Below are 25,421 nucleotides of genomic sequence, written 5' to 3' on the forward strand. Positions count from 1 at the left end.
CAAAATTAAAGATAACACAGGCCATATAAGAGAGCTAAAGGGAGAATTTACAATAGATGACAGAATTAAGACCAAACATAGATATGATGTCAAATAAGGAAAAATATGATTTAACTTATAAATGTATGAATATACAAAAACTGTTGGCAGTACCTTTGGGGAAGGGTACTAGGATTGGAAAGAAATTCAATAATTCACTGTTTTCCTTTTTGAACTTTTAAAAAATCATGTTTATACTGTCACAGTTTAGAGAAGTAAAGTGGGAAAAAAAAGCTGTTGGCCCTGGCTCCCTAGGGTTTTTACAACCAGTGGTGAAGAATGTCCACAGACATTCTTAAGCAGCAGTAGAGGTAAGCAGGTACACACATGAGCTGGAAAGATCTCAAAGCTGATTTGGATTCTTTTATCTTGCCATAAGAAATTACTTTCTTCAATCAAGGGTATAAAGACTGCTGAACTAGTTCATAATGAGGGTAGATGAAGGAGGTATCCATCTTCAAGAGTGGTAAATAGTTGACCCATACAAAGGACCAGCAGCCTCATGTGGACCCGTCTTAGCATCCTTCTCTCCTTCTACTCCAAGGGTGAAGAGTACTCGGAAGTTACTATTTATTCTCAAATCCTTGTGTCAGATTATTTTCATATCTTTCTTAGATCTGTTCTGGCTTAAGTCTTATTCTCTTATTCATGGAAATAGAAGACACTGAGCCCTTTCCCACATAAAAATATAGGACTACTGATTTCTAGAGCTTAAAGATGTTCTAACGCCTCGTTTGAAAGATTCAGAAACAGATCTAGAGATGTTAAAGTTTAGAAAAATGACACAAATAATGCCAGAAGTGGCAACAGAACTCAATTTTCCTGACTCCCAGGTTAGTGGTCTTTGTACTAAATGCAATTTCTTATCTTCCCTGAACAACCTGAGCTATGTACTTTAACAAAATTTTTTGTGGGTACATAGTAGGTGTACGTATTTATAGGGTTCATGAGACACTTTGATACAGCCATGCAACAAGTAATAATCACATCATAGAAAATGGAGTATCCATCCCCTCAAATATTTATCCTTTGTGTTACAAACAATCCAATTATACTCTTTTAGTTATTTTTAAATACACAATTAAATTATTGACTATAGTCACCCTATTGTGCTATCAAATACTAGATCTTATTCATTCTTTCTGTTTTTCTTTGACCCATTGTACTGCTAGATAGAACTCACATATTTGGTCCCTGCCTTTTCCCACCATTTGCAAATAGATTCTAGGAACGATCCTAATAGTTGCCAGGCACTGTTATCAGAGATCAAATCTGTCTTGTTTCCAATTGTGCCTGGGACATAATAGGATTTTTTTTTTTAAATAACAAAGCCATGTGTAGTGCTGCATGCCTGTTGTCCTAGCTACCCAGAAGGCTGAAGCTCAGGAGTTCAAGTCCACCCTGGGCAACAAGACTCCATCTCCACAACAAAAAAGTTTAAAAAGGTTACTATACGATTACTATACATTGTATGTATCAAAATATTACTCTCTCCCCCATAAATATGTACATTATATATCAATTAAAAGGAAGTAAATGGTGAGCATCCTTTCACTATGAAGAAAAGTTCTCCATATGCCCCCTACTTTCTTCTGTTTCATTTTTATGGAGACCTCTAAACAAAATGCTTTTCTCATAGATATGGAGGGACTCCTAAACAGGTTTTCTGCTTGAGAAAATCTTGATTTGAACTCCACGTATCATACACCATCAGGCAAAAAACCTCGCATTTACGTTGGAGAATACAGTCCAGAAAAAGAACAAAACCTCAAGTGTGGGCAGAAGATTGTGTGTATTTGCTATTAGGGAGGAGAGCTCAGGTTCCTTTTCTCTACAGTGACCATTAGACATTCCAAAGCACTGTCACTTGGTGTAGCTCAGTGCTCTTGGTTACTGAAGCAACAAGTGATCTCTGATGACAAAACAAAGGTAGGGTCGTGCCTAACACTGGTAAGGAGAAAACTGTGTCGAGTTAGTTAATAATTAATTTACATGTCAAGTTACAAGTTTTCTATCCTAAAATCCAAAAAAAGCAACAGCTCTTTTTTTTCCTCCAGTCATTAAATCACCCATTCAACAAACTTTCACCAGGCTCATGGTTTGTCAGCTATAGAAGAGAAAGGAGGGCGAAACCTGTGGTTAAGGCTTGCCTGAAGGATCTCACATTTGGGTTGGGGGCTGACATGCCAGTGAACAAATAGCCTCCTCAGGACTATGATAGAGGTATTTACAAAGAACTATAAGAGGACTGTATATTAAGTGTTTAGGGATCTGAGAAGTTTCAAAGAAATTGTGGCATTTGAACTGGATTTAAAGAATAAGGCTCAGGTACAACTTCATGTGAAAGAGTCGATATATTCACAAATTTGCCAAAGCCCAGTTAACTTCAATTCTTCGAGAGTTCCAGTTTTTTCCCAGGTGCAGTCAGTGTACCATTTTTTTCTGAGACCCACAGCCATTTTCTTTCATTGGCATGTTTTTAGGTTTATTTTTCAATAACTCCAGTACCCCTGAAATTTCCTTCCTTAGATCTTGAATAAATATATTCAAGTTGGGCATTACTGCATGGTTTGAGGATAATGTCTTTCCTGTTAAAAATATTTTTAAGTTTTTATACAAAGGTAATGTATGTGCTTGGTAAAAGAGAATGAATATAAAATGAAAAGCTATAATCTGCTACAGCCCCACCCAGCAGTCCCTTTGTCCAGCCATAAACAGAAAATAACAGAACTGTACTCATTTCCAAACTAAACACATCATTCTGCTCCTTGCCTTTTCTGCTTACTGTTTAATAACTTAGAGATAATTCTTTTTAATAGTTAACTAGATCTCTGTATGGATGTGCCACAATTTTTAAGCCATTCCTCTATTGATAATTGAGTTGGATACTTTTATTATAATTATTGCTGCACTGAACATCCTTGAAATGATTGTGTGGGTACAGCCATAGGATAAGTTCCTAGCAAGTAATTGCTGAGATAAAGAATGTATGCATTTAAATATTCATAGATACTGCCAAATTGCCTTCTTAAACTGTACTGTACTACCTTATACTACTACTCAACATTTGCGAGTATATTTTCCTGCCCCTTTTACCAAAGTTTTTGATTATTGAACTTACTAGTTTTATCACTGCATTAATATCTGATAATTGTTGATTTGTACTTAAGGTTTGAGTTTTTTTTATACATTGGTAATTTGCATTTCATCTTCGCCAGTTTTTAATATTGAATTACTAGGGTTTTTAAAAATTTTTATAAACTCTCTGAATATTGGTTTATTTATATGTATTAGAACTGTTATGATTATTTCGTACTTGTTTTTTCCCCACACAAACCAATTAATCTTTTCTTAGGGCTATTGAATTGTGTGTCTTGCTCACACCAAGGTTTATTTATAATATGCTTATGTTTTCCTCTTACTTTCATAGTTTCATTTTTTGTGTTTATATTTTTGATCCCTCCAGAATTTATTTTCTTATATGGAGTGAGGTAGGAAAATGGCTACCCGTTTGTTGTAATACACTTTATTTGACGATCCTTTCTTTCAACATTTATTTTAAATCACCATTACCCCATGATATTTCATTATCGGTTTGTGTATAAACTGTATTCTGGTCTGCTTATCTGCCTATTTCTTGTGCAGTACATTGTTTTAATGATTTCAGATTCATAACACTTAATAACTGACAGAATGAATTACCTACTTAAACATTTCGTACAGACACTGTGGTGGATTCTGCTACATATCATGGCATTATGCCATGAATGCTTTCCAGCATTACTGGCAGAAATAGCCACCCTTAAAATATGCCCCTCGTGATCCTCAGCGGTTCCCAGGGTACAGTGTAATGTGTACCCAGAAATGGGTTGCCCTCTTGCCCATTCCTGGGCTGCCTCCTAGGGACAGTGACTCCAGTTAACTTGCTGCTTCAGTGGGCACTACCATCTTCTGCTGGTGACTTCTGTCATCTTGTTTGACCCTGGGGAAAAGACTTATTTTCCTCTTTGTTGCCCACAGTAGAGACCAGACTTTCCTGACCGTTCCAGAATAATGAAAGAAAGGGTCCAGATAGTACTTTATGAGAGCGGCCAAGCTCCAGTGGAATCCTCTCCACCCTTACCAGGCTACTGCTCTGCCCTCTTTGCTACCTGTTTCCAGGTCACCAAAGGTAGTTCAGCTACCCCACTAGAAACCTTCAGTTATCAGCACTTCTTTAGAATTGGAGCCAAATTGACATCTGCACTAAAAGAAATGAGGAAGGTTTCCACTCACCTAACACTCTGGACACCCTCCTCCCAAAATTCCTGCTGAACCAACCTCTCCCCTGGGAAACTGGCAGTGAAAACATTTAGTCTTTTCAGAGGAAATTACACCTTTACTCAGAGAAACGTGGTCTGGATTTTGGATCTGCAGCCCCAGTAAGAGAATTGCCTAATGATCTGGTATCAGTTAGTACAATCAGGCCCTTCATATCTGTGGGTTCCACATCCATGAATTCAGCCAATCGTGGATCAAAAATATTCAATAAAAAATAATATGACAAAAATATAAACAATACAGTATAACTGTTATTTCCATAGCATTCGTATTAGGTATTATAGAGATGATTTAAAGTATGCAAGAGGATAAGCATAGGTTATATGCAAATACTATACCATTTTATATAAGAGATTTAAACATCCATGGGTTTTGGTATCAGAGGGGGTCCTGGAACCAGTACCCCAAGGATACTGAGGGACGACTGTCTATTTCGCAGTCTGTATTGTTTTTACAAGTGGGGCAGCAACAACCAAACCCAAATGAGGCCGCATCAGGCTCAGCCCTGTTCCTATTTTGTCTCCCTGCACTAAGGGTTTCAAGCATGTCTTAGGGCTGTGGTCAGCTTGTTAACACAAATCAGCCTTGAAACCTAACAGAATGTTACTTTACAATTTCCTGTTACTATGTTCCTTTTTAAAGTAAGCTACTTCCAAATCGATCTTCATCCTTTTCAAAATACCAAATTTCGGAAATGGAAGGGGGAAAGGAATGGGGGAAATACAAAGTGAAATCACCTGTATTTTCTTAGGGACCCTAACTTAGACATGACCAGCTATTTCTGAGATTCTTAAGTAAACTGTTTTTTCTCTCTGAAAGTCTGACAGTCTCTGCCATGTCAAGCTCTTTATTTCATGTCTTATACTTAGACCCACTCAGGCTACTTGGACAAATGCTCAAATAAGTTGACCAAATGAAAAACGTGTTCAGAGGTTGAGTGACTCAGAGTGAGAACAAGTGAAGCAGAACTGAGTGGTGGAACTTAACCTGCGCCTGAAGTTTTGAAACACATCAAGTCTAGTCTTCTGTATTTTAATAATATACAGACTTAGAGGGTGGAAAGAGATAAAGTGTTATGTGCTCATAAAATCAATTTATAAGTGACCTCATAGGGTCAATCACCTCAAGATAATATAAATTCATGATTTAATATATTAATGTAACCTTTGCTATGTATTAATCAGTATAAATTTATAATTCAGTAGTCTACAAATCCTAAACTTAGAGAATATTTTCTGAATTTGCTCTTTGATTACTCCACGTCTCTGCATAGAATTTTCTGACACTCACTCATCAGGATGTGTTTATAAAGGGTTTTCTTTCTTCCTCTTCACATTTAAATGATATAGAATTACCCAAACTTCCTGTTGCTACTGAAACTGAAGCAAGAGAAGCAAGGGAAATTGAAACTGAAAATGTGAACCAGCGACTTTACCCAGAAGCACAGTTGATGGCATCAATGAGATCAATTTTTTAATGAAATTAAAGAAAGTAGAGGTTTCAGCTGACACTGTTTTTCTCCAGACTCTCTACTATGCGGCAGGATGGTAGTTGTTTCCTCTCAACGGAGCTAAAAATTAACTTCATCCTATGGCATGATGTATTAAAATCAGGAGTGTTTGGCCCGGCGTGGTGGCTCACGCGTGTAATCCCAGCACTTTGGGAGGCCGAGGTGGGCGGCTCACGAGGTCAGGATATCACGACCATCCTGGCTAACACGGTGAAACCCCGTCTCTACTAAGAATACAAAAAAAAAAAAAAAAAATTAGCCGGGCGCGGTGGCGGGCGCCTGTAGTCCCAGCTACTCAGGAGGCTGAAGGAGGAGAATGCTGCGAACCTGGGAGGCGGAGCTTGCAGTGAGCCGAGATCGCGCGACTGTGCTCCAACCTGGGCGACAGAGCGAGACTCCGTCTCAAAAAAAAAAATAAATAAAATAAAATCAGGAGTGTTGATGGTAACTTTCTCTTTCCCCTCTCCAACAGGTAATTTCTCTCAAGATCCAACCCAAGCTATTCTATATACACAAGGTCAGCAAACATTTGATTCATTTTGTCAGCTTTAATATAAATCAAAATCACACCCAGGAGGCTGGGGTGTGGTCAAACAGACATCAAATCCCCTATTGCCCTAATAGCCAGTCAGTCACCCCCCTCTTTCATGTGGGAAAGAACACCGGAAGCAATTTGACAAGTAACAATCAGGCTTCTGGAGCCATGGACAATTGCTGTTAACTCTTGACTGTTCTGACAACATTTTAGAGCTATCTTTCAGGAATATTAGCCTCCCCCATTAACAAAACGGGGAAAAGCTCATTCCTCAAGGACCTCACTCTTCATTTAGTTCAACAGTTTGGATGGAGAAGGGAGATGTATCTTGAGGGAACACAAGTACATTGATCCCATTTTCTACCTCACTACATTGCTTGCAGGAAGAGGCCTGCAACTTGGTTCACCCCTTTTTTTTTCTGCTTTAGTATTTTAGTTGGGTCAAAGTAACTAAAGAGTTACTTACTTAAATTGCATATTGCGATCCCCATAATTTCCACTGGGTAAAATTTAGCTATACACTGAAGCTTGCTGTAAACATGCAAGCAAGTTGGGAGAAAATATTACCATTAGAGAAGTGGAAAAAGACCGGCCCCCTTCTCCATCATCACCAATCAGGTGTTGAGTGAAATCTCCCGCTTACTATAACATATTACTCTCACAGAGAATAAACACCGTATCTTTCAGTAAGGATCTCTGACCTGTCATTGTGAAGGGAGGACTAGCCAGACTGAGGGTGTGGTGAGGAACTAGGGGAAGCACAGACAGAAGAAACTGCTTTGAGAGGAGAAGCAACTTTGAAGTGTTGCTTAGTCCAGGCCCTGACCTAGGGTTTGGTTTTTTTGAAGTCTGTCATTAACCCTTCCCTCACTTTCCTTCTACTCTTCAAGTCCTATTACATTCATAGGAATGACTGATTTGCCCCCAGGTATTTTGCTGGTCCTGGGATCGCAGAGAGGAAAAGATACAATCCTGCCCGCAGGAACTCAGTGTATAGAGATGGCTTCTCCAACTTAACTATTACAGAGGGCTGATAATACTTTTCAGACATGTCGATCCAAAATGACCAATTAAGGATAAGGACTTGGAAGTAAAGAACATAACTCAAAGACAACAAATGCCCATTCACCAAAGATAAAGCCATGAACTGTCCAGGGCAAACGAGCTCGCCTTTTGGAGGCTAAGCTTCTTGTGGGAATTTGTAGAGTTTGGGGGAGGTCACTCAGTAACTTCTGTAATGAAAAGTTTTGTGGCAGCCAAGTGCAGTGGCTCACGCCTGTAATCCCAGCACTTTGGGAAGCCGAGGCGGGTGGATCCCTTGAGCCCAGGGGTTTGAGACCAGCCTGGGCAATATGATGAAACCTCATTTCTACTAGAAATACAAAAATTAGCCAGGCGTGTTGGCACACAGCTATAATCCCAGCTACTTGAGTGGCTGAGGCATGAGAATCAGTTGAGCCTGGGAGGTGGAGATCGCAGTGAGCCAAGATCGTGCCACTGCACCGCAGCCTGGGCAACAGAGCGAGACTCTTGTCTCAAAAAAAATAAAGAAGTTTTATTGGTAGTATTTGTTCTCTGTTAAGCCCATCTGTTGAGTTCTTGATTTCATTTATCAAGTTTTTCAATTCTAGAATTTCCATTTGGTTATTTTTTATATTTCCAGGTCTCTGCCAATGTCCTCAATCTTAATTTTTATTTCCTTAAACATTTTAAGCAAATCATTATAGAATCCATGTTGGATAGTCACATTATCAAGATCCCCTATTGGTCTAGGTCTATTGTCTGTTATTTTTTTGGTATTCAGTTACATTTTCTAGTTATTTTTGGTTGAATTCTGTCTTTGGCAAGAATATGTCAGTCACCTTTTGAATAGGATGAATGAATCTGTTACACCTTATGGAAGCCATAAAATCTATGCTGCCCCACATGGTGGCAATGGTGTATATACAAATGAAAATCTAAGAACCCCACTGACCTTCTGCTGACCAACATCGTAGTGAGGTAAAGAAGTCTCAGAGTTTAGCAAAGTATTATCCTTAAAGAATCAAATGAGATTGTAACCAGTTCATCTTGCCTGCTGCCCAGATACAGCCAATTTGTAAAGACAGGGAAGTGCAATAGAGAGAGATTTTAATATGCATAGAGCCAGCTAAATAGGAGACCAGAATTTTACTATTATTTAAATCAGCCTCCCCAAAAATTTGGAGGCTAGGATTTTTTAAAGACACTTTGGCAGGCATGAGTTAGTTCCTGGGTAGGGGCCACAAGACCAGATGAGTTGGTTTACCATTCTGGGTGGTGCCAGCTGATCCATCAGAATGCAGGGTCTAAAAGATATCTCAAGCACCAATCTTAGGTTTTATAGTAGTAATGTTATCTATAGGAGCAATTGGGGAGGTTAGTAATCTTGTAACCTCTGGGTGCATGACTCCTGAGTCATAATTTTTAATCTTATGGCCAATCTGTTGATTTTACAAAGGTGGCCTGGTCCCCAAGATACATTTTACCCAAGATGTAATATCACAGGAAACCAGAACCTTCCACTCAACCTCTCATACACAACTGGCTTTGTTAGTTTCCCACCACATTCAAGAGCACCTGATGCCCTAAACTGTTTAAGGTTGAATTAAGGAGTGCTCTTTTCAAACTATCCCAATTTCCATGAAAACCAAAGACAGCAGAAGACCTAGAAAATATTTATAGAATTGGGTATCTTGGGACATGAAACAAGTGGATACTTACATATGTGAATCTCACATGTCTTAATATCCAGACTAATTCCACCTTGACCTATTCTTACATACTATCTATTTTTCTCTTGGGAAGTTTTCTAATACTAGCTTAGCATCAGCATGTCTGTTTCAGTGAAATTAACACGTTAAAATATCCCCACTGGAGGTCAGTGAGTCAGGGCACATGCTGCTCTACAGAGGGGCCCAGTTACAACCTAAGGAGTAGCACTTCATCAGAGCTACCTCTTCAGGCCACATTCCCCACTACCTCAACCAACTGCTCCTCAGAAGAAGTAAGATGGATTTGTGGGAAATGATTTCCTTGAGCCATTTTTCCAAAGATAGTGGGGCATTCTTAAATGGTATTCATTTGAACATGGTATTCATTTGAACTTTGACATAATGCCATTATTTTGTAAATGCCATATCCTGGATAGCTAACTATGGCTGACAATCTACCCCTCATCATGACTGTGCTCAAATGCAGATATCTCTAGTGCATCATTGAACGAAAGGAATTTCACACACTTAAGCCTCTCTGAAATTTTCATCTTTCAATTGTTCACTTTTGTAACTTTTTTGTGGGGATGAAATTGACACTTTAAAAAGAAAAATTGAAGCTTGTGATGGGATTCTAAAATCTAAAAAATTTCCTTTCCAATCATATTTTAAACTGTTAGATCGTTTGCCCATTTATTGTCAATTTAACATGAAAACAGACACATGTGCACATGGACACATACACACAGGCACATGTGTTGAAGGCCTCTAGCAAGGTTGATGAGACTTGCTCAACTCTATTGCTAGCCACAGATGAGCATACAGGAAGGTCGTAGGACCCAAGTGTGTCCAACCCACAGCCTGTGGGCTGCATGTGGCCCAGGACGGCTTTGAATGTGGCCCAACACAAATTTGTAAACTTTCTTTAAAAAAAATTTTTTTTAAAGCTCATCATCTATTGTTAGTGTTAGTGTATTTTGTGTGTGGCCCAAGACAGTTCTTCTTCCAGTGTGGCCCAGGGAAGCCAAAAAATTGGATACCCAATAGTGCCTTTGAGATTGACGCCTATGGGGAAATGGAGGGAGCAGAATTGGGTGGAGGGAGAAGTTGGACCATGAAGCAGTCCTAGCAAAGGCCTAAGCCAATTCCTCAGGGAAACTGTGCAGCCAGGATAGCCCTTTGGTCTTGTTCTACTGGAGTCTGTCCTTGCTACCCTAATATTTACGAGTCATTGGATAAGGACCGCCCAGGGAGGAGCCATGACCTTGGACAAGACAGCTCTCTTCAGCTCCTCTTAATTCCCTGAGAAGAACTCAGCTGAGGGTCATCAGCTGCCAGCACTCCCAGCAGCTGAAGAATGGGTGCCTCAAACTTGAAGTGGGGACTGGCCCACATACCACAGTGTTCCGTATAGAATGACAGTAAAAAAAAGTGGTCATGAAGCTCATCTACAGTTTCTGTCTTCAAACCTGTAATTTTTTTCATTTAGGTTTTTCAAGATTATCCCAGACCCTCCCATTTCCAGCAGATTTCTTTGTGCTTTGATTTTTGGTCATTTGTTTGTTTGTTTGTTTCTATTTTGAGACATGGTCTCACTGTGTCACCCAGGCTGCAGTGCAGTGGTGTAGTCATGGCTCACTGCAGTCTCAAACTCCTGGGCTCAAGAGATTCTCCCACCTCAGCCTTCTGAGCAGCTGGGACCACAAGCATGTGCCACCATGCCCAGCATTTTTTAAAATTTTTTGTAGAGACGAGGTCTCCTATGTTGCCCAGACTAGTCTCAAACTCCTGAGCTCAAACAATCCTCCTGCCTCAGGCTTCCAAAATGCTGGGCTTACAGGCATAAGCCAGTGTGCCTGGCCTGATTTTCAATATTTAAAAAATATTCCAATTTGAAGATTGAAAAGCAGACTAAAATAGTATTGGCCTGAGAACTCCCAAAAAATTATCTGGACAACTACAAGGTATGCCTTGCTCCAAAACAGTAATTTCAGATCTGCCAGAACCAATTTGGGCTTCTGTGAAAAGTAGAATTGAGCTTAGGAAGGAGGGAAGTGGGTGGCTGCCAGTGCAGTATGACTGGAGTGGCCGTGGAAAGATTTCCCAGGCCCATCTGCTCTGAAATCATCTTTATTCGTGACAGCTTCTGAACTCCAGAAGTGCTCACCTGTCAGTGTCCTTCACCTGTCTCCTATTGCTGTTTGTCATTTTGTGTTTAACTGAAATCCTAGGCTTGAATACCTGAGGCCCCGAACCTCTCGAGGTCAGGCCAGCCTACTATTCCTCTATGTCCATGGGACCCACAAATGCAGCAAGTGAAATTGCCGTCATTCCTGCCTTGGTTTTCGCCCAACATAGGAAATGATTATACCTACATGGAGCTGCAGTGAAAGACATGATAGATGCTAACACTTCACCTGGAGATTGCTAAATACCAGCTGATAAGATTGAAGGCTGGATGAGAGCCTCTGGGGAAAGGGTTGCTGAACAGCAAAGTGGACAGACAGCTATGGTAGGCAGAATTTCTGAAAATGCCCTGAGGGACGTCCCATCCTAATCCTCAGAACCTGTGAAGATTGAGATATCACTTCTATGATTATGTTATAAGGTACAATTAACCTTAAAATAAGGAGATTGCCTGCACGGGCCTAGTGTAATCGCATAAGCCTGTAAAATTAGCTTTTCCAAAGAGGGGCAGAAGAGGAAGTTAAAGAGTTGCTGCTTTGAACATCGAGGGGACCATATGAGAAGGAATGTGGATGGCCTCTAGGAGCAGAGAGGACCCCAGCTGACATCCAGCAAGAAAGCAGGGACTTCAGTCTTAAAACCACAAGGGTGGAATTCTGCCAATATTCTCAATGAGCTTGGAAGTGGATTCTTACCCAAGCCTCCAGGGAAAAGCCCTGACAACACTTTGACTTTGGCCTGTGAGACTCTTGAGTATAGAACCCAACCTAGCCTGCCTGGAGTTGTAACCTACAAAAGCGTGAGATGATGAACTGGTGTCATTTTAAGCTGCTAAGTTTGTGGTAATTTGTTGCTGCAGCAATAGGGAACTAGTACAGTAGCCAAGACAAACAAGTCTACTTGTCACTATTTTTGAAAAAACACTTTCTTTGGAAGAAACTGGAATCTGCCTCTAAAACCATCTGGCATCTGGCATAAGGGGAAGGCGGACTGAGATCCAAAACTATTATGTGCCGGCTTGAGCTTCAACTTTATGTATACCAAACCATTTATACCTCACACCTACCCTCTGGGACGAACACTATTATTATCCCAGTGTTATCTCCATGGGCTTCTAACTGCTGTTCGGAGAAATTAAATGATTGGACCAGTAAGTTCTCAATCCCAGCTGTGCACCAGAATCACCGCATCACCTGAGTTTTGTTTATTTTGCTTTGTTTTGTTTTTAAGCTAATGAGCTTTTAGAGAGTCAGGATGCTGAGGCCTCAACCCTGACCCACTGAATCAGGGAGGCCCAGACCTCTTGCACTTATTAAAGCTCTTGGATGATTCTGATTTAACCCAGATGTTTGGCAACCAGTGGTATAAAGTGTGGTTAATGGACACCAGCATCAGTTGCCCTCAGGGTGGTGGTAACCGCTGATGTTGTGTCCCTAACAGCCATCCTCTGCTACTTCACTTACAGCAGGACCTCAGGTGTGCTCAGATGGCTACGTGCCTGGCCAGAGGGGGTTCTCAATTTTCAGCTCTAGTCATGTTATCACATTTCTCTTTCCCAATACCATCCTGTGAAGGTTAATTTCGTGGAGCAACTTGACTGGCCATGGGGTTCCCAGATTAAATATTATTTCCAAGCGTCTCTGTGAGAGTGTTCCCAAATAACATTAGCATTTGAATCAACAGACTTAGTAGGTTGCCCTCCCCGACATGGGTAGGCATCATCTAATCTACTGAGGGTCTCAATAGAACAAAAGGTGGAGGAAGGAGGAATTTGCCCTCTTTTTCCTGCCTCACCCCTTGACCTGGGTCATCTCATCATCTCTAGTCCTTAGACTGGGATTTACACCATCAACTCCTCTGGTTCTCAGGCCTTTGGACTTGGACTGAATTACACTGTCAGAGGCATTTGAACCAGAGTGACTCCATCTTGCATAGGGGCTAGGTAAAATAAGGCTGAGACCTGCTGGGCCGCATTCCCAGGAGGTTAGGTGTTCTAAGTCACAGGATAAGATAAGAGGTCAGCACAAGATACAGGTCATAAAGATCTTGCTGATAAAATAGGTCACAGTAAAGAAACTGGGCAAAACCGACCAGAACCAAGATGACGACAAGAGTGACCTCTGGTCGTCCTCACTGCTCATTATATGCCAATTATAATGCATTAGCATGCTAAAGACACTCCTACCAGGGACGTGACAGTTTATAGATGCCATGGCAATGTCAGGAATTCACCCTATATGGTCTAAAAAGGGGAGAAACCGTCAGTTCTGGGAATTGCCCACCCCTTTCCCAGAAAACTCATGAATAATCCATCCCTTGTTTAGCATATAATCAAGAAGCCACAATAAGTATAAGCAGCAGAGCAGCCCATGCTGCTGCTCTGCTTATGGAGTAGCCATTCTTTATTTCTTTACTTTCTTAATAACTTACTTGCTTTCACTTTACTCTATGGACTTGCCCCAAATTCTTTCTTGTGGGAGATCCAAGAACACTCTCTTGGGGTCTGGATCAGGACCCCTTTCTTATAACACCACCACCTGCTTTCTTGGGTCTCCAGCTTGCAGATGGCAGATTGTGGGACTTACTTCTTAGCCTTCATAACTGCATGACTAATTTATCATATTAAATCTTATTTTCTTTATATATATCTCCATCCTACTGGTTTCTCTGGAGAACCCTAATACATTTCCCATCTCTCTGCAGCTAGAATCAGCCAGAAACATATAAGGAGACTCCACCAGGAGTGGGGAGTTCTTGGGAAAGCTTTTGCTTCTGAAAAAAGATAAAAGTACACAGGAGAGCTGTCTGGTGCCATTCCTTGAGCATGTGAGAGACTGTGTCACCGGGAGCAGCAGTTATCTGTGGCCATAAGTTGAGATGACTGGATGAAATGCTAACATGTTGAGAAGGTAGGACAAAAAGAAAGAACCAGGGACACTGATGACATTGTTGAGGTGCATCAACCCTAGAACCATTATTAAGAGATTTATTATGTGAAATATTATTATTTACTGTTTTACTACTTGTAGCTGAAAGCATTTCTAACTGTGTACAGGACTACTTTTAAACGCAAGAAAGAATTTCTGGTGTTGAGGACTGGGTTATTTGCATTAACAACCATCCAATTCTTTGTGCACTGAAGTCTAAGTCACCCACATTCTAGGGTCACCTACACAGATAGTGATGAAGCTGCTTCTAACTGGTCCATGTTTTTTCCACTCTATGATAGTAAAAACAAATAGAAAAACATCTGCATTCCTCCCTTTTTACACACTCCCTGCGGCAATATTGGTATTAGACATAGCAGAAAATAATAACTAAGAAAATAACTTGAAGAAAACATGTCTACAAGCTTTTTGTTAAGAAAAAAAAAAAAACCCAATCTTTAAAGCCCGTATTTATTATACAAATAAATCAGAAATAATAGGTATATGGGGAGAAATGGGAGAAGAGAAAGGAAAGCCAAGATAGTGCTCATTTTTCACATTAATTCCAAAGGACAAAGGATGGGATGGGAGCTCGGGGGTTTCTGAAAATGCTCACCACAATCAGTTTACACAACTTTTCAGAAATATGTTAACTCTGTATCAGAGCACACTTTAATAATCTAGATATATATAGAGACACAATCTGTTTGTCTAAAGAAGCTTCCAGATTTTCCATTTAGTGTGTCTTTTACCTTTACCATAACCCTGAGTCATCTCTGATAGTTCTCATTTTGGAAGTGATTCCATGCATAGAAAGTTGTGTGTGGGCTCCCTAAGGACAGTAGCTGGGTCCCTTTTGTTCATTGGCTTACCCATAGCCTGCAGCACAATGCTTTGAACATAGGTAGTATTCAACCAATGTCAACTACAAGATCCCAGAAGACCCAGAAGACCCCTTACCTTTAGGAATGTGTGTCTTGTGAGGCACCTGGGATATTATCGCTAGCTCATTTTCTCAGACAAAACACAGAACAGTGACATAGTTTTGTAAAGGTCACAGGGCTAAGCAGCTCTCTCCAAATTTAGTCCTGTGCACTTTTCCCCAGATTTATTCCCAACAATGCCTGCTACACTCTTTAAAAACCAGCCTCAGACACATCTGTTCTATGAAAATTACATGGAACAGAGAAGTAACTATTTCCTCTCAGTGAACAACATTCTGCCATTTAAAAGGAAAAAGTGAACTTTGTGGGTTCCTCTTGTATAATTAGGATTTAATTTCCTTCAGATGGAGATGTGTAACTGATATTGCATATTATATACTGCACAGTCACTAATATAGAGAGATTCAATATGCATTCACTATGACAATGCATCAAAGAACTTTTTTTTTTACCCTTTTATCTTCATATCCCAGTTTGCTTTGCAAAAAGAATTGGCATTTCATTAAATATATAAATAAATAAAAGACTATTTTTTCAAGATTCACTAAACAGGTGTTGCTTACCTTAAGGCAAAATTTTTATAAACTAAAAAAATTCAGTTTCTGTAACTGTTCCAACATGAAAAGGACTAGTTATTCACCTGAGAGGAAATGTCTTATAATGAAGACTTTTTATTGAATCTGGATTAGTCCCTTGCCCAACACTAATACTGACATTTTTCCTGCTGAGTTGCAAGTGGCAATTCACTTTTGGAAGAATTTATGGGAAAATATAACATTATTCTATTTCCCAACCACAAGTTTTGTTTATTCCTCACACTATATAGATGGTGAGTCTCAGAGAACTGGGGGCTTCTTTGCTCCTTGATGGGGAAACCCAGCTGTGTGCTTCACGCAGGGCTGTCCATAGCCTGCAGCACAAGGCTTTGAACATATGAGGGGGTGTTCAACCAATGGCAACTGCAAGATCCCAGAAGGCTCCTTACACTGTGGGGACTGACAGCCTCTTATTCCCCAGTAACTCCTGTGGTGTTTCCAGCTTCACTCTTACATTGGCAAGTAGGGATGGAACGCGCTGACTGCCGTGTGAATGAACTGTGTACCTTGTTACTTCAAACATTGAAACTCTGATATTAAATTTTTTTTTTTTTTTTTTTTTTTTTTTTTTTTCAGACGGAGTCTCGCTCTGTCACCCAGGCTGGAGTACAGTGGCGCGATCTTTGCTCACTGCAACCTCTGCCTCCCGGGTGCAAGCGATTCTACTGCCTCAGCCTCCTGAGTAGCTGGGATTACAGGCACATACCACCACACCCAGCTAATTTTTCTATTTTTAGTAGAGATGCGGTTTCACCATGTTGGTCAGGCTGGTCTCGAACTCCTGGCCTCGTGATCCACCTGCCTTGGCCTCCCAAAGTGCTGGGATTACAGGCATGAGCCACCTCACCCGGCCCATTAAATATTTTTTAATGTGAGAAGATATACTTATTATCATGAACATACAAGGGAGGGATTTGATCACAGCCGAGCATTGCGGACATGTGACTTTGCGTGACTTGAAAAACCCTGGATACCAACATCTGATCAAGTGGAAAATTCATATGCCTAGGAAAAGTAGCCCCTGTGATGGGTGAATCTGGTGGCACTGAAATTTTTTCTTTAACTGCATTGAAAGGAGATGTATCAAACAAGCCTCAGCATGTTATTTAATTATGAGATCTGTTTTAAAATTTAAGTGAGAAACCAGGATATCTAGAAGCAAGTTATAGAGAATGCAAAACCTATTCCCCTTTAGGTATTCAGCTTGATGAGCCAAGTGATAATAATGGCTGTAGTCAGCTGTTGTTATTTTTGCAGTATCTAAGGAAGAGAGTGTAGATGAATTCTTCTCTTGTGAACTGCTTCAGTTAACTATGAAAGGAATCAATGTGTTCAATCTCATCCAAGATTTCTTTTTGAACCATTAGCTAACACTTCATGTGTGTGGATCAGTTCTTACTGATGGTACCTCCTGCTATGCTTGGTAAAACATCAAGCTTTGCTGCCTAGAATACAAAATAAAGAAAAATGAGTAGCTATTTGTATAATGCACTATTGTGCACTTGCTGCAAGAAGTTTGCCTGCAAAAACAAATAATGTTCTGTCTTCTTTATATGGTAACAAAAACTCCACCAAGAAAAAGATCCAAAACTTTGCCTCTTCCATGATTTTTTTTAAAGGAATTGGTAAGCTGACACATCCATTTCCATATAGAAATGAGGTGGCTTCCCACAGCAACATGTTTATTTTGCAACTAGATAAAGTGATGAAAATTAAGTGAAGCACTTCTCTCTTTCATCCTTCTGAGAGGGTAGCCTTCCCTTAGTTGTCTTGGGTGCCCATGTAATTGAAGAAAGAAAGAATGCAAAAATATTATATTTTTCCAATTCTGGCACTAAAAAAATAAGATTATGCAGGAAAAAAAAAAGACTTTCAAGTCAGGTTATTTCCTTGAGAGATTTCCCAAATACTCTGTCTCCTCTTTAACATACCATAGTCCCAGCCTGGAGGATCTAGCTTACAGAATTTTCCTGTGGGCTAGAGAAGAAACCTTTACTCCCTATGACAGCAAAGCTTCAAGACCTGCTGCTACATGGCAGAAGATACGACATCACAAAATAGACAACCCACCCTTTTTTTCCCCAAAGGATGGTGGGAAGAAGGAAGCAGAATGGAAAAGAACTAGGAAAGCCAAGTACAGAGATGATGTGTGTTCCAAGCACCACCCACCTTACCCCACCCCTGTCCCGCCCAGCTTAGAGGACTGAAGAGAATGCAGAATTAGGCATGGGTAGGGCTGCTTTTGTCCTAGTTCCCTTGGGACTGGTCGGGGACAGGCTCATAGGCTGTTCTGCACCACCCAGAGAGAAGCTGTGTCACTTGGCAGTACAGTAGGCCAGGAGAAGATTGTGGTGGCCCCACGTGGCTCTGTGGTATTTATATAGGATCCTGCAGCTGCTGAGTCTCTGGTGCGGAGCAGCCCAGTGGGGGTTGTTATAGTGGCAGTGGGGTGCCCTGTAGAGAGCATTACAGAGTGGGTCACCAGGCCCAGGATTAGAAGTGTCTGTAGCCCCCGAGGAACCGGGACAGGACTGAATCAGTCAAGAAGAGACGAGATGATGATGACGGAGTGGCCACAAAGTCCTCCCACCCCTACCCTATCCCAGATGAGCCCATGCTGTAACCACATGAAGAGCAAAGAAACAACTATTTATTCTCAGGGACTGTGTTAATGATTCCCAACCATCAGCATCGAAGAAGAGGTCCGGAAGAATGTGAAGAATGCTAAGTCTTGTGTGGAGAATAGAGGGGAGCATGAAGACAATCCACAGCCTGCAGGCAGGGACTTCATGGACACTCTACATTGTGCAGCAGCCACAGAATTCAGCCACAGGTGCCAGCTGGGTGAGTACCAACCAGGTGGATTAGGTCCACCACCCAGAAGATGCATAAAAAAACCACACCTGTCCCCCCAGATCCACAGAAGCCATCTTAGGGAAGAATCAGTGGGGATACTCAAGATAAAAAATGTGGAAGGCTCTTTTTCTGTCTTTTTTCCAAGAGCTGATTATTATCTGAAGGGATTGCTTACTAATTGGAACTAAGATTTCACCCAGACAGTGCTAAATGTTAGAGATTCTTCCCCCCGCTACTGGAGATCAGAGAGAAGTTCGCAACATTTATAGATAAAAATCATATCTCAATTGTAGTATAAGTTAAATTTGTAACTATTATATTTGTTTTTGAAAGCCATAAAAGTCTGCCTATTTACAACCAAATAATGCCATAGTTGACAATTTTAAAAAATAGAAAGTTTATCTTTTACCTAGCATATGCAGTAGCTATATTCAAACATGAAAATGAACACAATTAAGTCATCTAAATATTAATCTAATAAGAACATGGTGTGACCAGAGAGAAATTATTTGCTTTTATAAGAAAATTTTAGTGGGGGATAAAGCATATTGAAATAACTTTCCTTTTCTTAGAGAAACTGTTTTAACAAAATGAAAAACTGACCATTGCAACTGATATGACAACATACTTTGCAACAATTGAGTGACTCATTTTTATGGATTTTTTTTCCACTAGACATTTCATGTAGAAAAAAACAAAAACAAGAACCAAGGATACTGGAGCTTTTTTAAAAATTTCATTTCTATCGATGATTGTCTTCTATATAAATTATTTTTACTTAATTACAACTCAATGAATATATTTTAACAAGAAAGCCTTGGGAATTTCTGAGAACTTGACTAGCATTTTCTACAAATGGCAAAGAGAGCAGTGAAGATTATGTGATTTTAGATTTTTCTCACTTTTACACATCAAAATAAGAACTAGAAATTGATGTTGACATGAATATAGTTATTTCCAAGGGAAATGTCCTTATTTCTTGAATATCTTGGAACAAAAGCTAAAGGAGTATATATTATTTTTATATGGCAATAACTTTAATGTGTTATGAATTCAGGGTTGTAATAAACTCTAGTTGTGTTTTCACTCTATAATTATAATTAGTTAAAAAGTATCTTCTCTCATCATTATGTCCATGATGCTTACGTGGACATAGTTTGAGAAAAAAATGATGCAATTTGCCATACAATTAGGACCACAGTTCAAAATTCAAACTCAGCACAACTTTCCAAAGATCTGGTACTTAACTTCCGTTCCTATAGCAGCAACTCAACACACAAAGCCCACTGCCCTGATCTAAATGTAACCAAAACCTAATGCAAGCATTCATTTACCTCTCATTTTAAACCATGTCTTGTAGATTTTGATAGACTATGTGTGTTAAGAAGCAACTGGAAAAGCTAGGGCACTGTATAATCACTGCTGTTGATATAAAACAAATGTAGTAACTATGTCTAAATTGTAAGAGCACATTTTGAACATAGAATCATTTCAAGCAGGCATTTTCTCATGAGCTATTTGATCTTGAAGGCTCAGCATGTCAACATTCAATACATGAGCTCAGTGTCATTCCTTCCCTCCAGTGTTCTTCCAGCTGGCAGTCCTGTACGTCCATTTGTCAATGGCAGCTCCTTTTCCTTCCTCATTGGCAGTCAGTCTTGCTCGAAAATGTTGGGGCCTGCACCCGACATCTCAGCCTTCCTCCCTCCTTACTGTCCTTGTTTTTGTCCAGTTATTACACCTTCTCACATTCCAATGGGCACCAGATTCATTTTCATTAAAGGAAGTAGGTAGTGTGGAAAATCCTTACATGTATAGCATTTTGTTAAACTGTGCATTGGTTAGAGTTGAGCAATTAGATTGTCTAGATTCAAAGGTAGTTTTTACTACCAGATGTCTGCTTCTCCCAAGAAGAAAGTCTGTCTCACAGTTTCATCCCCAGGTCCCAAGGGGTCCACGGGGGTGTGTGAGCTTGCTTCTTGGGAAAAAAGACATCTGGAGTTCTCCCACACTGCCCATGCTGTGCAGGATGTCTGGGAGGCTCTCCTCTGCTGACTTGATGCTTCCATTTCTCATTGTGTCTAGGTCAGTCTGGCTGTTCACTTTGGTATCTCAGCCACCCACCCCTTCTTACTTCCAACAAGTGCATCCAACAGTATTGGATGCATATAATTTTTTTCACAATTTTACCAAGAAATCAACAAAGTACTGCAGCATGTTTACTAATACTGTAAAGACAAGTTCCTCATACAACCCTTTTCCAATCTCCATACTGCCCTGGCTCCTGCCAGTCTCAGATACCCTACTCTTAGACCTTTGTGTTTTCCACAAGGACTCTGCCTCTTCGGCCCAGTCACCTGGGTCACCTGAGCTCATGGCCCTCCATCTATAACCAAAGACCTATCTGAGTGCCACCCCCTTGGGAGGAACTCCTAGCAAACTCACACAAATTTTATGGATATAAAACTTAATAGATATAAAAATATCTGACTAATGGATATACATGAATTTATTTCTGGGTATGTTTTTGGCTAACAAAAGAATTTTGGATTAACAGCAGCTCCTATCAGGGGTACTTAGAAAAAAACAACAAATTAGTCATAGACAAAAGGAGGCAGAGAAAGTTGGAAGGAAAGGAATAGAGATATGTGTAATGGAATACTGAAAAGATAAAAGAAGATAATGGAAAGTAACCTAAGGCCTAAGAACCAAAGCATGCGAGGATATATGAGTAAAGAGAAGTACTGAAGAGCTGGGATGCTGGGAAGTAGGTGATGGGTGTTAACCTCAGAGTAAAAAATTCAGAAAAAGATTTGCAGTAAATATGGCTAGTTATCTATAGGATTCAATTTTCCTCTTCTTCTGTAATAAAATACTTATTTGTTTAGGGCAGAAATGTCATCAGTTCAGAATATTTAACTTCCTAGACCCCCCTTTGGCTAAGGGGCAGATGTGACACCAGTGAGATGCAGGTGAATGGGGTTCTAGAGGCTTTCCTTCCACAGCAGGGGACAAAGCCTCAGAAAGAAAAGAATGTTGCTATTTCCCTCTGCTTTCTCCTAATTCCTGCCTTGTGAGTGGTCCTGATGCTGACAGATGCAGTAGGTATCTTGCAGCCACGAGGAAGAAAACAGCATGACTAAGGACAGGAGGAGCTGAAAGGGGGATGACACGTGATTTCTGATGAAAGCCTTGAGCCATGACATTTTTTAAATGAAACTAGATACCTCTTACTGAAATGCAGAGATTTCCAGTTAAATTTCCAGCAAAAGAATGAAAAATGGAAATTAACTATAAATCACTTATTTATGTAAAATAATACGAACATAATTTCTATTTGGGGTTCTGTTTTTGTTATTGTATTTTAGTAAACCTTAAAATATAAGAGATTTAAAGCTTACTTATAACCTGAGTCTGCCAAGTGTTTTCTATTTCTTTGTGTATGGTTTTAAGTTCTTCAGCCTCAAATAGTACTTCACTGGGTGTTTTCAGGAACCTACATCTGTTTGGGGAGGAATTGCTATGTTATAATCCTCTAGGACTTTGAGTCCAAGGATATACACACCCCAGCAATCATAGTCTTATAGCCACTAATTCAATTCTTCTTATAGCTTTTGGGGTTTGGGTATTACCCCTTAGAAGCCAAGTTATTAGCTGAATAAGGAAGTAACACCTCCAACAATGCTGTTCACTCAGCATGTTTCTTAAAAAACTCCTTGTTATCCGAGCAAATCCTAAGGATATACACCCAAGATGAGTTATGGAGAATTAATTACTGACTCCTGAGAATCTAAAAATGGGGCAGCAGCCCAGGTGTTCTCATCCTGGAGTCATGCTGTTTCATAAATGCAACTTACCTTAGGTAAACTTAGTGTTTATTTTTGATAGTGCAACAAGTATAGAGCTCAGACCCGTTTCCGGTGACTTCCTTTAGGAAATCTCAGTATATATTTGTTCATTAATGTGCAATAAGAATAAGCTTTCTAAAATTTGGACAAGTAGAAAAAAGTGGTATTTCTGTTCTTTGAATAAAAAGCAAATGCATTTAAAACACGCATAATACACAAGTAGGTAAATTTATCAAAAGGAAAAAGTGATCAATCCTATTTAAACTACCTGTTTTACAATTGCAATAGTTTCTTATTCAGAAATGTATTAGGTCAACTTAAGTACTATTTATTACATCAGAACTACCAACACCTTTAGTACCCTGTTTGGAAGACCGAACATGGATCAGATGTTAGTCCCACCTTAGATATAGCAAATCATTTATTTCCATTTTAATAGTTGAAATTTAGAAAGCAAACGGACCCAGAGGGGATATGCCCACAAGCAGGAGATGAACGTGTTCCAAATGGCAGTATATTTCCAAGGAGACTTACAGGCTTTTTATTCCAAGGATTGGCTCAATACTTCATTACTCAGAAAGTGTGTTTGATCAGGCGAGACCTTCAAATTTGAGCTCCTCTGTGGTCAGGGGAATGCTAATGACTGTCTGACAGCTTGTCACAGACATTGGATTTTTTTTCTTAGCATCTCTGGCCAGATTTCCTGTTTTCTGGCAGCTGTGCTGGTGCAGATTGCCAAGAGGCACCATACCCACAATCTTGAGAGGATTCTGTTTCCAGCAAGCCTTCTTTTACTGTCATCTATGTATTACATCTCTATTTCAAGTCTCTCTAGAATTTATAGTCATACTGGGCATTTAGTTTCAATTTGCATTTGTTTGTTACGTGGCTTTACATGACTTTTTGTCTACTTCATGAATCTGTCCGATCTTCCCAGTAGATCTAAGTACCTGGAGGATCTGACTCTCTTTGACATAGAGAGACTCCCCAGAGACCATGCCTTTGATTTCATTTATAGCCCTTTAGGACAGTGTTTCCCCCTCAAACTCTCTTGCAGACTGGTAAATGTCCTAAATTACCATTTAGGAGTGGGGAATAGAAGGAATGGAGTAGGAAGTGAAATCCAAGACAAGTCACAGTACCTGTTCATAAAAGGGAGGGGTTGCTAGGCAGGAAATCTTTGCCACTCTGGTCTTTTCTCTTAGAGAACACTACCCAGGACTGCTCATCGATCATTGTCAACTATTTACTTTTACGTTAGGGTAAAAATGACCTTATATGCAAGTAGTAGTGATTCTTAGAGTAATATATGATGCCTAAACAATATCTGCAGGTGGTAATAAATTAGAGGTGTGACAGGGCAGTGCTTCACAAATGTTCCAGCTCAAGGTACAATCTCAAGCTTGTTCCAGCAAGTACATGCCCATGTATAGGGGTTAGGGGCTTTGTCTTCTACCTTCACCATTCCTAAGGTATTTAAATCCAAGTCTCTAATAACTTATTCTGGTTTTTAAAGAGGGTAGTTGTTCACATGATAATAATTTCAATAGGGCTGAGATGTTTTGGAGCATGGTAGATGGGCATCACTCCTACTGAGGCTTGCAGGCAAAGAGGAAGACAGATATTGACATTTCTCAGCACTGGTACATGTGCTGCAAGTCACCTATTGGTCAGTTGTAAGAGCAGGTGCAGGACAGTGTATATACAAGTCAACACTGGGAGAGGCACATGTAAGAGCTGAGGGCTTATAGCAAGGCTTGGGCAAAGCAAGGGGTATGGTTGAGCCAGAAAGTCTATGAGAATGAAAAGGCCAGGGGTAGAACCTCAGGCCTCAGATCTTGGTTAAATCCTAAAAACTACTCATTGTGCTTCTGTTGCAGACAATGCATAGGAGTGAATGAGACAGAAAGCAAGACCATGAGGATGACTAAGAAGAGCAAGTACAACATGGCTGAGACTAAGTGTCCAGGGAGTTGAGAATAAGTGGCCTATTGTCATGTCCTATATAAGTAGAGTATATGGATGGGAGGCCAAGAATACACCAACAAATAAAATATTGAATATATCGGTCAAGGGCATATCGAGATGATCAGGATGCTGCCTATTGGAATGTTTATCCTCCCACCCTACCCCAGAAGAGGAGCTTCTCGTCTTGTTCACCGCTGTTTCCCAGCTCCTGGAAGAGCCTGGCACATAAAAGGTGCACAATGAACATTCATTAAAATCAATGATTAATTGAACTGGCTAGTATTCCATCTCACTTTCATTACTGGAGAACTGAAGAGCCAGCTAGCCTACAAAAACTCATTCTGGATGTAGAAGCAATAAGAAAACATGCATTCAAATAAAAGCAGAGAATCCTTCTAATATTTCTTCATGTGTCTATCTTTTCCCATCCCCAACACATTTATTTTCCTTGACCTACAAAGGATCTGTTTTGTCCATGATGAGTCCCAAAAACAGCCCTCAAAGTGGTTCTCCCCACCTACCCCACTCCACTGATGCTGCATCACATGGTAGGGTGTTGCCTTGCTCCTCCATGCAGGGAGCTTTTCTCAGCACCACTAAGGTACCAGGGAAGTGGTAACTGGGAACAATTTTCCCCAATACAGATAAAGCCTAGATAAAAAGTAGGGTGATACATAGGCAAGGGGTAGATGGGGCCTTCCTAGAGGACACTATGTCTTCCTGAATTTAGTCCATTCATAATCAACAAACCAGCCCTACTGATTTAATGCCTAGGCTCTGCTGCCTGACTATATTTAGCAAAGCTTTTGAATGGCAGAGTGATTTCCTATAGGAATACTGAGTTTTTTCCAGGGACAGATGTAGCCTTGGTACATTGTCTGGTTATGTAGGATTTTTTTTTTTTTTTTTTTTTTTACTGCACTTGTGCTGTTCTCCTTTTTTCAACTTATAGCTGGAGA

The 25,421-nt window shown here is 40.1% G+C and overlaps 2 long non-coding RNA genes across 2 annotated transcripts in view; both read left to right on the plus strand.

Moving 5' to 3' along the window:
• The first annotated feature begins 1,943 nt into the window (after window positions 1–1,943).
• Window positions 1,944–24,859, plus strand: LINC03016 (long intergenic non-protein coding RNA 3016). The gene is made up of 4 exons (NR_108073.1): window positions 1,944–1,968; window positions 6,342–6,386; window positions 14,027–14,232; window positions 24,375–24,859. It is a non-coding gene; the product is annotated as a long intergenic non-protein coding RNA 3016 (long non-coding RNA).
• The window catches only part of LOC107986764 (uncharacterized), a 106,009-nt gene continuing 98,781 nt past the window's right edge, over window positions 18,194–25,421 (plus strand). Inside the window, exon 1 of the long non-coding RNA XR_002956539.2 lies at window positions 18,194–18,634. This is a non-coding gene — a long non-coding RNA (uncharacterized LOC107986764). The remainder of the gene's footprint in view (window positions 18,635–25,421) is intronic.

Source organism: Homo sapiens, chromosome 7, assembly GCF_000001405.40.
Source record: "Homo sapiens chromosome 7, GRCh38.p14 Primary Assembly".
Taxonomy (NCBI): domain Eukaryota; kingdom Metazoa; phylum Chordata; class Mammalia; order Primates; family Hominidae; genus Homo; species Homo sapiens.